The sequence below is a fragment of the Homo sapiens genome, chromosome 6, assembly GCF_000001405.40.
Source record: "Homo sapiens chromosome 6, GRCh38.p14 Primary Assembly".
Classification (NCBI taxonomy): Eukaryota; Metazoa; Chordata; class Mammalia; order Primates; family Hominidae; genus Homo; species Homo sapiens.
In genome coordinates this window covers 116,385,842-116,398,791 of record NC_000006.12, presented here as the reverse complement: position 1 = coordinate 116,398,791, position 12,950 = coordinate 116,385,842, and the positions used below count along the sequence as shown (strand labels likewise).

Below are 12,950 nucleotides of genomic sequence, written 5' to 3'. Positions count from 1 at the left end.
AAAAACCAGAAAATCCTGTATTTCTTACTACAGCCTCTTTCACTGTAACTTATCTCCTTTTCCTAACATTTCTGAACCAGGGATTAGGATCAATACATCTGTAAGCAGACAAAATATTATGAATAAGGTTAAATATCCTCTTTATGTGAGCAGAAGGTGGAAAGAGAGAAGACAAAGGCCATGTAAACATCTGCCAAGCCCGTGTATTTCCTGGGCTGACATCAGCAAGCATGTAGTGAAGACCAAACACAGTGCCACTGGGACCAGAAACTGACATGCCTTCATTCAGAGAATAAAATCCCAGAATTAAAAGGCTGAAATAACACGGGTGCATTTTCCCCTTATTATCTGAAACTACTGTCTACTTTTTCATTTGGCATATGGGATTTTGGTGTCATTCAGTAAGTGAGAAATGTAAACAAAGTTCACATATTTTCTTAACTACTTGATTTTTCTTCAAAGCCCCTTTTTTCAGTGGCAGATTTGTGCACTGGTTAAAAGAACATCTTTCAAATGTAGAAACACTAAAAAAAATAAAATAAAATCCCCAAAACCTCAGCCTAGTCAATGTCCCACATCTGGGATAAAGCAGGCAGAAAATCCCTCAGAGGAAAGTCAGGGAATTCTTAAAATTCTTAAGAGGGGAAAGGTTATAGAAAGCAGACCAGAAAAAGACAGTTTTATGTAAATAACGAACAGTGGTTTTCAATTATTAAAGGGAGAAACTGATGGTGGAAAATCAACCTCCCAAGCTGAACACAAACTGTTTTTCCAAGGAAAAACTGCCTCATCATATTTAGAAGAAGAAAAACTAATAATTTAACAGATATGGCAGATCAATCCACATTTTCAACTTGCTGTGTGTGTTTCCAAGAAAAAGGCAATGAGACATCATTTGAGGGTGCTACCTTATTCTGGAGTTTTTTATATTTCTACCTATATATGAAACTCGATGGCAGTGGTTTTGGTTTTGTAAAACATTTTACATTTATTTCAACAGCAGAACTTCTGATGAATAAAAAATTAATATAGCCATACTAAATAAAACATATGAAATAGAAATAACTCTTGGACTCTGCCAGTATTATGTCTAGCACCCAAAGTCTCAAGGCAGCTGGCAGGCTGGATCCTTCAAGGTCAGAGACCCAGCCAAAAGAAATAGTCTTCTGTGGTTATGCCTGAGGAGGGGTGTGGTCTCTGGCAGCACACAGAAATGGCTGGGTCTGAGGTAATGCTCAGTCCCCCCAGGGGCTTATTCCTTGCTCCATTTAGAGAACAATATACCGGCCAGGCACGGTGGCTCATGCCTGTAATCCCAGGACTTTGGGAGGCGGAGGCGGGCGGGCCCCTTGAGGTCAGGAGTTGAAGACCATCCTGGCCAAAATGGCGAAACCCCATCTCTACTAAAAATACAAAAATTAGCCAGGTGTGGTGGGGGGTGCCTGTATTCCCATCTACTCGGGAGGTTGAGGCAGGAATCGCTTGAACCTGGGAGGCGGAGGTTGCAGTGAGCCAAGATCCACCACTGCACTCCAGGCTGGGTGACAGAGAGAAACTCTATCTCAAAAAAAAAAAAAAAAAAAAGAAAGAAAGAGAATAATATACCGCTAACGATTAAAAAAAAATCCTGTATATATTAAGTCCCTAAAAGTCTAAGTCTGAATGCTCTCATCAATGCAATCAGCATTGTGGGGGTTTTAGACACTTTCTCCTTTAACTGAACCCCCATACACACACCCAACGTACATGCAGTGAAAGATCCCTCAACTACCAGCTTTTGAATGTGTGGGAGCTCAGGTGGATAGGGGAGTGGCTCCAGCTATGAGCATATGGGTAAGAAGGCATTAATACATGGAAACTAGAATTTTTCCATCTCACATTCTGTACAAACTTCCCCAAACGTGGGTAAGGTTAATTCATCATGTTCTTTGTCCTCCCCTATGCAACCACACTCCCACCCAGGCACAGAATCACTGTATATTCAGGACTGCTCCGAAGAGTCCCTCACACTGTGGGGCCTACATGCCTAACTCAGCAAAACTCACAATGTGACCCCTGCCACTTCTGCCACATTGCTTCCAGTTACGTAGGATATGTCTGAATATATTTAAACCAGAAAAGCTGATCCTGAAGCATAGAACCTCATTAAGATGTTGTTTTGGGAAGGATGCCATCTCAACATGCCAACTGTTATTGAAGGTTCTCTAGCTATTACTTTGAATTCGTGCAAGGGAGTCAGAGCAGCAAGGTTGTGCATTACTGTACATTTAAAATATTAATTTCCGTCAGAACACCACGTTAGCCAATGCAGAACCCATAGAGATTCTGCAGAACAATCATCTATGAAGACTGAGGAGAAAGAACCGTGGCATTCTCAATACCACAAATGGTGTACTACCTTCCCCATGCCCCACTCAGTGTGCTCAGCCCCCAGTGCTCTCCCAGCTATTAAGGCTTTTGTTGATTCACCCAAAGAGTTGATCTCTCTTGTATCTGGCACATACCTATATCACACCGGACTGTTTCGGTTGTTTACATGCAATGCCTCACAGAAGGTGAGAACCTTCTTCCTCTATGTATCATGGAGCTTAGCACTGAATCTGGCTTTTAAAAGGCAGCATGCTGGCTGTGCTGAACCAAATCCCTGGGCTTAGCTGTTGGTAGAGCAGACCTCATCAATAAAATAAGCATGGAGAAACTTTGTTCCCCCTTATTTGAAGCCAAGGAAAGTGTGGAACTTTCCAGAAAAAAAGTCCCTCTAGGAAACTAATGGGAGAAAACACGTATGAAGCCTAGAAACTTATGTAGCCTAAAAACTATCCACTAGTTTAAAAAGAAAAGAAATTAAATCTAACTAAAATCTAAACCAAACTTGTTTTAGGCTGATAACCTAAAAGAGGAAGTAATACCCACCCATCATTTTAAATCTGTCTAGAAAATTTCACTGAAAAATCTCTATTTCCAGTCATTGAGTTTTCTCTTTGACCTTCCACTCTAGACATTGTGTGTGCTCATTGTACAAAGAGAAGAGCCAAAATTAAATGAAAAGAGTGTTTCAAGATAATTTTAGGTGGACCAAAAATGGACAGGCTTTACGTTAATTTTACGTACTTATTTTAATGTGCATTATGAAAAACTATACCACATCAAACCTGAGATTTCTACAGATATGCAAAACTCCTGTTTAAAATATATTTAAATTTAAAAGTAAAAAAAAAGTAAATGGATATGGCAAAAATTGTTGAAGGTGGTACCTGAATAACTATAGTTTGAGAGATGCCAAAAATGCTTACCGAAACAAAGGGCATTAAAAGCTAATGAGTTTATGGGAATGGTCAGCCCCAACCCTCCCACTTTCTTTATTTTTTAGACGGAGTCTCGCTCTGTCGCCCAGGCTGGAGTGCAGTGGCCCGATCTCGGCTCACTGCAAGCTCTGCCTCCTGGGTTCACGCCATTCTCCTGCCTCAGCCTCCCCAGTAGCTGGGACTACAGGCACCCACCACCATGCCCAGCTAATATTTTGTATTTTTAGTAGAGATGGGGTTTCACCCTGTTAGCCAGGATGGTCTCGCTCTCTTGACCTCGTGATCCACCCGCCTCGGCCTCCCAAAGTGCTGGGATTACAGGCGTGCGCCACCGCGCCCAGCCAACCCTCCCACTTTCAACACTATGAAACAAACACAAACACACACACTATCTCAAAATGTGCCTTCTGTCCTGGAGAAATAAGTCTGAACTTCAAGATGTTTGTGCATGATCTCTCAAGCTATTCACCCCCTACTTCATTGTGTTTCAAAAACAGCAGAGCACTCCCAGGCCCTTTAAATCTTTAAGTTGCACTTCGCCCAGTTCAAGAGCATAGCATTTTCAACATGGCAAAATTACCAGCGACTCTCAGCAGCTGATGCTACTAATAAGTACTTTATCTACAACTCAATTCTCAGGCTGTTTCTGAATGATTCCATTGAGCATCATGTCCCCTGAAATTCTCTTTTTCCTCTTTTAACTCTACAACTTTCATGATCCACTTTTTCTTCCCATTCATTTGTCTTATGTCACACAACTTGGATAGTAAAACATTCTTAAATCTATGAGGTAGGAGGATCAGTTGAGGTCAGGAGTTTGAGACCAGCCTGGTCAACATAGTGAGACTCCATATCCACAAAAATAAAATAAAATAATAAAAAAATTAGCCAGATGTGGTGGCATGTGCCTGTAGTTCCAGCTACTCGGGAGGCTGAGGCAGGAGGATTGCTTGAGCTCAGGAGTTCGACGCTGCAGTGAGCTATAATTGTGCCACTGCACTCTAGCCTGGGTGACACAGTGAGACCTTGTCTTTAAAAAAAAAAAAAATCACGCTGTTACTGCTATAATTCAGATAGCAATTTGATCATCTCTCTGCCTGTATATATTCAGCAGTCCAAGTTTAGCATTACGTGTAGGCCAAGCCACGTGAATTATGAATTACAATTACCTTAAGCAGATCTTTATAAAGCAAAGATAGGCCCCAAATTATTTTGCTGTAATTCTGGTTCCAACAATCCACTGCAGCTATTATGATTCAGCAGTCACACAGAAAAACTTCGTTTCTGTGATCCTAAATGCTTTTCACATATTTGATCTTTTACTCTTCAATAACTTAATATAGCAAAATAGTATTATTTGTTCCACAATAAATTTCAGAGAAAGAACTAGAACTTGCACCTCCTAAATCCTAAGCCAAGATTCTTTCCTTTAACCAAACTAATTTGTGAGAATGTTCAATAACATTAAAAGTTCCATTTTTTTGCCATCCTTACACAAAGAAAGCACAGAAGAATATGCTGAGAAGAAAAAACTGAACACTAAACTAGTACATCAAGTTTCAAAAAAGATTTGGGTTTCAAATGATCTGGGACTGTTTATAGAATGAAACAAATGGTAGTACAAAAGTTCTTTCAATTCCACAGGCTTCAGAAAACAGAGAAAGTATAAGGATGGGAGAAAGAAATCACCCTGTAGAGAGTAAAACATGCCCCAAACTAAGATGGATTAAAAAACCCTCTTATAATATGTGCCAAATTTGAGGAACACAACATAATGATTAACAGTATGGGGCATGGAGTTGGGCAGACAAGAGCATAAATCTCAGCTCTGCTGCCTCCTAGCTTTGATCAACTGACGTCCACTCTCAAAACCTCCCTTCTGTCATCCACAAAATGAAATATGCTTCATGGGGTGATTAGACATGTGTGATGCACTTAGCATAGAACATGACATGAAGAGCTCAATAATATTTATAAAAAGGAAGATGTTTCAGACCTGCAAGATTATACTAACCTATTGATAAAATATTTTATTTGAAAGAAACTAAATCTTCATACTTTACAGGTAAAAATATAAGAACTATAGATGTTAACTGACTAGGGCCAGATCATACTGCTTATTAGAGACTTAGTTGAAATTGGAACACAATGCTTCTCACTCTTCAACACATCACTCATAGTAAGCTCATCACTCACTGGAAAGGAAAGTATACGACCCTTTAAATTTTTCAAGTGTTTGTTAGAGGTTTTGCCCCAAAGAAAAGAATAATAGATTAAATGAGCTATTAACTAAATTTTCTTCCTAGGGTCAGTAATTTAATTCTTCATATACAAAAGGCGACCACTTCTTTTTTCTCCTTTATTCTGTCAGGAGAAAGGCCTGCCGATCTAACAGCGACTGGGAAACACAGTCCCTGGCTGGAAAGCTGTTTCTTAGTAACACATTTATATTACGGAAGGAGTACATTAAAATTTAGGGGACACCTGCTGCCACTGCAAGGCGGATAGGTTAACCTCAGTACAGGGTCTGGTCCTGGCTCCATCACTGCCATCAGTATCTCAGCTGATCATCCTGGAGATGAGATGCTACTTAATGTTAGGCTTCCCTACCTCTCACATATGAAAAACCAGAATGTCAGCATATTCGTTTACCGTCAAGCAGATTGGGAAATATTTTCTGACTTCACAGGAAACCAACACAGGAAGTGAATTATTAGATAACTGTCTGGTGAACAAGTAAAGAATCAGAACAAAGGCAATGGGAAAGGCCCTGAACTTGGGGCAACTTGACCAGTTAAGATCGCTACCATAACTTCATTTGAAGGAGGCTGCTGAAATTGCCAGCAGCTGTCACAGATGTCCTTGGGGGTATCATTAAAGACAAAATTTTAAAAACTGAGTTGTAATCATATTTAGAAAACAAGAGTGAAATGTACATCCCCTATAGCTCCTGCCACCACACCCGCCAAGCTCAGCCTAAGAGCAGCTGCTCCAGTTTGCTCAACTTAATGGATGGGCCCCATAGTTAGTTACATGATTAGGAATAATCCCCCACACTAGAACCAGTGTGCCCATATCCATGGCAAGATTGAACAGGCAGACCCGACAAATGAATGTTCCTGACGTTGCACCCTCTCCCGTGGAAAACAGACAGATGTTGCCGAGGTTAGGCACTGTGACTCGCTTGCTCATGCTTCCATTTAAGTCCAAGTTCCCTCCTCCTTCAGGCCTCCATTGAAGTTTTAGGAAAACCCTGATTGCCTGAGAGCATTAGGATATACTAGACAGGGCTGCATTGCCTTCTCTGATCCATTTTAGGATTTAACTCTCAGAGAAACCTTCCAAGTGCTTTGGGGAACACCTTGCTGTGGTCTCACATACTATTTCACTGTTGCTACATATTTTAACTATAGTAATAAAATGCATATATTTTAAAAGGTCTCCTCACTTTTCTATTTCAGTTTTATTAAATGCATAATTAAAATAATTTTTTGAAGAATGTTTCCTCAATACCAAAGTAAAACCTTACATGTCCTTGGTAAATTTTTGTAGTGAAATAAATCTAACCTTATTCTTAAATATGTCAAATCCTAAGAAAACCTATGGCTTTGGTACTGCAGAATCGTTCCCTAAAATTATACTCCCTGATGTGTAAAGCCCGTGGACTCAGACAAAAAGGAAAATCTTAAAACTGAGAGCTCCTTTTTTTTTTTTTTTTTTTTAAGACGGAGTCTCGCTCTGTTGCCCAGGCTGGAGTGCAGTGGAGCAATCTTGGCTCACTGCAAGCTCCACCTCCTAGGTTCATGCCATTCTCCTGCCTCAGCCTCCCAAGCAGTGGGACTACAGGCACCCGCCACCACGCCCAGCTAATTTTTTGTATTTTTAGTAGAGACGGGGTTTCACCATGTTAGCCAGGATGGTCTCGATCTCCTGACCTCGTGATCCGCCCGCCTCAGCCTCCCTAAGTGCTGGGATTACAGGCGTGAGCCACAGTGCCTGGCCAAAACCGAGAGCTCTTAATCAAAATCAAGAATACTTTTGCTCCCTAAAAGGTAATTTCCAAACAAAAATCCACAATATGAAATGATAGTATATGGAACCTCCAAGAATTTGCACACGCTGCTGAAGGAGTAATTAGAAACCTGAGGCCACACAGCAAAACCACACCATGTATAATAACGGTGTTCACCACCTTAAAATACAACATTAAAAAAAAACTTTAGGTCAGGCTTTTATTAACTGCAGCTCTGTACAGTCAAAGAACATTTCTATCATTGTCCCCTGAAAGGTTTTCATGAAGACAGCACACTTTTTCATTATATAATGTGAAGCCCACTTTCTTTGTTATACCAGTGATGATAATTGTATAACTTCCTTATATTAGAATAATTCATGTAAAATATGTTTAAAGTGCTCACAAACATTTTCTGATGTCAAGTCTGAAGGGTTCCTCCCCCATCCACCAGAGACCACCTGAGTGAGAAATGTAGTGGCTATCTAACTAAATTCATAATTTAGTGGTAGAGGTTAGCCTGGTGCATGTTACTACTAAACTACAAACCATTAGTATCCAGCTTTTCAGAGATTGGTTATCATTTCATATGTAGAAAAAAAGTAAAATCTGTATTATTTTCATGGAGGCAAAGGGAAACGAGGGTAGAGATACGAGTGTACAAACGTCACTTATGAGAGTACTGGGGCATCTAATTTTGCTTACAGAAGGCCAAAAGAGAAAATGAAACGGTTACACTTTCTAAGATAAGCTATAAATAAATTCTAGCTTATCTAGCAGTCTAACAATTGAAGATCTTCTGATTAGTATTTCTTTATTACAATTTTAGTTGATTTTCTTAATGATGGTTTTAGAATACACTATTCTAAATTATTTTCAGAATTTTTTATTTTAATATTATTTTCAGAAGTTAATATTGAGCATAATTAAGTGTATTTTTTATGCTGAATCACTTAAAAAGTAGTAATTTTTGCCTGTTATGCTTTGCAGTGCATTGTGATCCAGTACTGGAATATCAATTCCTTACCCAAGTTGGGGATAAGAATTTCTTATAAATACCAATAAATTCTACTATGTATTGAAAAAGTATTAAATCCAGGAATTATGGGCCAGGCACAGTGGCTCATGCCTGTTATCCCAGCAGTTGGGAGGCTGAGGCAGTTGCAGCACTTGAGCCCAGGAGTTGGAGACCAGCCTGGGCAACATGGTGAAACCCTGTCTCTACAAAAAAATACAAAAATTATTTGGGTGTTGTGGCATGTACCTGGGGTCCCAGCTACTTGGGAGGCTGAGGTGGGAGGATCGCTTGAAGCTGGGTGGCAGAAGTTGCAGTGAGCCAAGATCACCCCACTGCACTCCAGTCTGGGTGACAGTCTCAAAAAAAAAATAATAAAATAAAATAAAATCCTGGAACTATGTTAGGCATTGAAAATACAAAGTGGGCAAGAAAATCTATACCTTCCCTAAATAACTATAAACAAAAATATAAGAAAATGATGTCTCTGAGGTTTTTTTTTTTAAAAAACTGTAGTACTGTATTACTCTGCCTGAAAATAAAGATGAATAGTCAGTCTCCCTTAGTCCAAAACAATTTATTTAACCTATTGAACTTGGCCACTAAAGAAAATTTGCAATATATTTTTAAAAACTTTCTCTAAAGAGTAAAAGATTTTCTGTAATGGTCTGAAGGACAAGCTATGGCTCTCTCAGCAATAGCTTTAACCATGAAAACACTTTTGTAGCATTACTGACTAAAAAATAAAGTATAGAAAAGAGGATGAATAAAAATAATGAAGCCAACAGCTAAATCTCAACCCTATACAGTTTCAAATAACAGTTAAACTAAACCACAAAATGCTCCTGAAAACCAAAGTAAAATTTTTCTTCCTGCAATACATTCCTGAAGGCAGACTGGTGAGATGGTTAAGAGGGCTGGCATGGGGTCACAGTTGTTTGTCACTGTATGACTTTGGACAAGCTATCTAAACCTATTTCTTCATTTAAAATAAAATGCTATTTGTCTCACTGACTGGTTGGGAGATTAAATGAGGTAGCACCTTTAAAGCCCTCACTTCATAGTAAGTGTTTAAAAAAAAAAAAGCTAGTTATCATTCACCTCAAAACACTATCAGTGTTTGAGGGTGCAAGCTGGAGCCACACTTCCTGGGTTTGAATCCTAGCATCATCACATCCTTACCTACGTTCCTGTTTCCTCCTCTGTAAAATGGATCAAATAATAGTACCTCCCTCATAGGGTTTCTGTGAAGCTTAAATTAGCTGATATACTTAAAGCATTAAAATGGTGCCTAGGATTTAGAAAGTGCTCAATAAATACTAGCAGCCATCATCATCTTCTCAATGAGAACATCGAGGTCAGTCCAACTGAGGGGAAGTGCACCATGACCCCAGGAGGAAACGCTCACAAAACTATCACTCAGAGAATGCTATTTTTAAAATATGTACAATGCATTGTTTATTCTCAACCTTGCAGTCTCTTCAGGAGACTAAAAATATCAAATATTTTGAGAAATATAGAATATTTGATGCCAAAAGTTTTCTTCTTCTTCCTGCTCAACTGCACATTTATAACTTTCAGCTAAATATTCCAAGTAACCAAACAGATCTGAGGAAAAAAGCAATTACCAATCTACTTCTTCATCAACCAAAGTCTATATACAGATAAAGCTAACTGATTCACCATACTAATAAAAACATGCTTACACAGTCACAAAAAATCCTAAATGCAGAAATATAAGTCCTGATGAAATGCAACAGATGAAAAAAATTACTTATAAACTTAAATATAATTTTTTAAAATTTTGATGTTTAATCAAAATACATTTTCCACTTTCCACAAATGCCAATGTATATTATCTTTCAACTGGCAATGTAACTCCTTGAATCTGTAAATTAAATATCTTTAATTCTGTATCACCAATTCTCCCCCTTTGATGTTTACATATGTGACTTCTTTTCTTACCAGTTGTGATAGTTTTGTGTCAACTTGACAGAATCACAGGGTACACAAGTATTTGGTCAAACATCATTTCTGGATGTGTCTATGAGGGTGTTTCCAGAAGAGACTAAACTGAGTAAAGCAGACTGTCCTCCCAATGTGGGTGGGCCCAAACAGAACAAAAAGAGAGGGAAGATTTTCTCTCGGCCTAACTGCTTGGGCTGGAACATTGGTCTTCTCCTGTCCTTTGCCTGGGATTTACACCAACAGTGGTCCTAGTTCTCAGGCCTTTATATTCAGGCTGGACCTATTCCACCTGTTTTCCTGGGTCTCCAGAGTGCAAATGGCAGATTGTGGGACCTCTCAGCCTCCAAATTACAAAAGCCCATTCCCATAATGGCCAATTCCCATAATCTAGCCAATTCTAGATATAGATAGATAAACAGATGTAGGTGTAGACATGGATCTACTGGTTCTGTTTCTCTGGAGAACCCTAATATACTAATTAAAGCTGCTCAGGCCAAGCCCTTTTTCAAATTCCCATTAGAAAAACCCAGTATCCCTTTCCTAGTACTCACTCTCCAGAATCTCCCCACCTAGGATAATACACCACACTCTTCCTCTTCCCTGACACTTTGGGAAATTAGTTTCTGGGATACCGTATTCTCCTGCTTCTCTTAATACCTCTGTGGAAAATCCTTCTTATGCTTTTTTCCCAGAAAATTTTTACTGCTTTTACTGTGCAAAGAACGTGTATTTCATTATCATATTTAATCCCCAAAATTATTTTATGGGTAATTTTGTTGGAAATAGATGAGGAAAGTGAGATTTAGAATGGTGAAATAACCTACCCAGCATTATTCAGTGAGTGGTCAGGTTTATTTTTGACTTCAGGTGTGTCTGAGTCACAGTCAAGATTTTAGCCATTATGCCTCACTTCCTTTCTCCCTGCAAGCTGCCTGCAGTGTCTCAATCCTGGGACTTCCCACAAGAATATGGCTGCATGGCTGCACGTGGTCATTTGCTCACTCCCACCTCCTTCCTCATAACCTGCCGTCTAAGGTGCTCATTTATACACCTAAAACTAAATTCTTCCAATCAGAACTTTCTTAACTTCTTCACTACATTTTCTCAAACCAATTATTTGGAAATCATCTTCATTTCTTCCCTATCCTTTTTCTTTCATTCCAATTTTCTCACCAAAGTCATGCTTTTTTTTCCTAAGTACTGTTTCATTACTCTGCAGTTTTTCAACAGATTCCTGAGACTATTCCAGAATTCAACATCAACCTCCAGGGTAACTTTCCTCCTTTTGACCTTTTTCCTGAACCCAATAAATATCACATATACTTGTGGGTTAGTTTCTCTGTTCCTCTAGCCCTTTGTCTGCAAACTCCTATGGGTGAGTCATGACACTGATTACAGATTTTCAGGGGAAGCGCCCCACAAAAAAAGTACTACTAACCTCACTTATGCAATCTAATCTGGTTCACTCATTTATGAATTTAGCTAAACCGTTCTTGACATTATGTGTATTTTTGGTATGTCCTTATATCATATCTTCTAGGATAAGATACTATAAGTTTACTCTCTAATAGTAATAATGCCTCTAAGAAGCACTAATACAATGTTCAAGGATCTACTATGTTAAATGGGAAAGGGTTATATTAGCAGACCTGAATTGCTCAAACCATACACATTCCCAAGAGAAGTCTTCAGGACTGGCCCTTTACCAGCTCATGAGAGACGAGCCCTTGGAATATTCTGCCTGATAAAGAGGTTTTTATACACTCGAGGCCTTGGGTTACATGGCAGTAACACTTTAGTTAACTAGATGACTCATGATAAACTCCTATCTTTGCTCTGGAGAGGCTGGAGTCTGAGTAGCTGAAGTCAGTCACATCTAACTACAATAAAAGCCCAGGACACCAAGGCTCAGGTGAGCTTCCCTGGCTAGCAACGCTTTGCATGTATTGGCACACATTGTTGTTTTGAGTACAACTTCAGTAGGAGTGGACACCTAGAAGCTTATGCCTGTTTTCTCCTGGGCTTTGCCCCATGTGCCTTTGCCCTTTGCTAAGTTTAATCTGTATCCTTTGGCTGTGTTAAATAAAGCATAACCAGATGATAACAAATGTTGTAAGTCCTTCTAGTGAATTGCCAAGGCTGATGGTGGTCTTGGGGACTGCTTCCCCATCCATATGCCCTTTATCTTCTTTTTAGTTAAATCATCTAAGTTCCTGTTAGAATTATGAGTAGCTTGCCATAATACTTTGTCCCATTATAAAAGAAAATGTGATACTTTCACCACATCTTTCTCTTTAGTCAACTTTTGCTATTTTTCTCTGACTTACACCCAGAAAAATGACTAAGAATGTTGCTGTTGAAGCAAAGGACAAAGCAGAATACACTGGACTGACACATTTTTTAAAAGGCTTTGGGAATATTCCAAAAATGAAACATACAGATGGTAAGCAAAGGGCTAAAAGGAAGTTCATTGGAAAGTAATTTATGGGCATTAAACCTGTAACTGCAGTACATCTGATTGAAATAAAAATTGTATATATTGGATGAGTATATATGGAGTGGTGCTTTTATTACTACACATGAAGTTCTTTTACATTCTTTACTTATATACAAGCATTCCTCATTTTTCCAGACTTCAAGTACTCATCAG

General features: G+C 39.0%; 1 protein-coding gene across 13 annotated transcripts in view, besides 5 other annotated features; it reads right to left on the bottom strand.

Moving 5' to 3' along the window:
• The window catches only part of DSE (dermatan sulfate epimerase), a 190,691-nt gene that overhangs the window by 46,070 nt on the left and 131,671 nt on the right, over positions 1–12,950 (bottom strand). The window lies entirely within an intron of this gene.
• Positions 7,963–8,122: an enhancer, noted in NCBI's record as "active region_24990". NCBI's record gives its function as "activates an Ori minimal core promoter by ATAC-STARR-seq in GM12878 lymphoblastoid cells {active_cell/tissue: GM12878}" and the evidence as "EXISTENCE:reporter gene assay evidence [ECO:0000049][PMID:35858748]".
• Positions 9,409–9,508: an enhancer, noted in NCBI's record as "active region_24989". NCBI's record gives its function as "activates an Ori minimal core promoter by ATAC-STARR-seq in GM12878 lymphoblastoid cells {active_cell/tissue: GM12878}" and the evidence as "EXISTENCE:reporter gene assay evidence [ECO:0000049][PMID:35858748]".
• Positions 9,539–9,588: an enhancer, noted in NCBI's record as "active region_24988". NCBI's record gives its function as "activates an Ori minimal core promoter by ATAC-STARR-seq in GM12878 lymphoblastoid cells {active_cell/tissue: GM12878}" and the evidence as "EXISTENCE:reporter gene assay evidence [ECO:0000049][PMID:35858748]".
• Positions 12,072–12,366: a silencer, noted in NCBI's record as "tiled region #1381; HepG2 Repressive non-DNase unmatched - State 23:Low". NCBI's record gives its function as "represses a minimal TATA promoter and a strong SV40 promoter by Sharpr-MPRA in HepG2 cells {active_cell/tissue: HepG2}" and the evidence as "EXISTENCE:reporter gene assay evidence [ECO:0000049][PMID:27701403]".
• Positions 12,111–12,180: a silencer, noted in NCBI's record as "silent region_17493". NCBI's record gives its function as "represses an Ori minimal core promoter by ATAC-STARR-seq in GM12878 lymphoblastoid cells {active_cell/tissue: GM12878}" and the evidence as "EXISTENCE:reporter gene assay evidence [ECO:0000049][PMID:35858748]".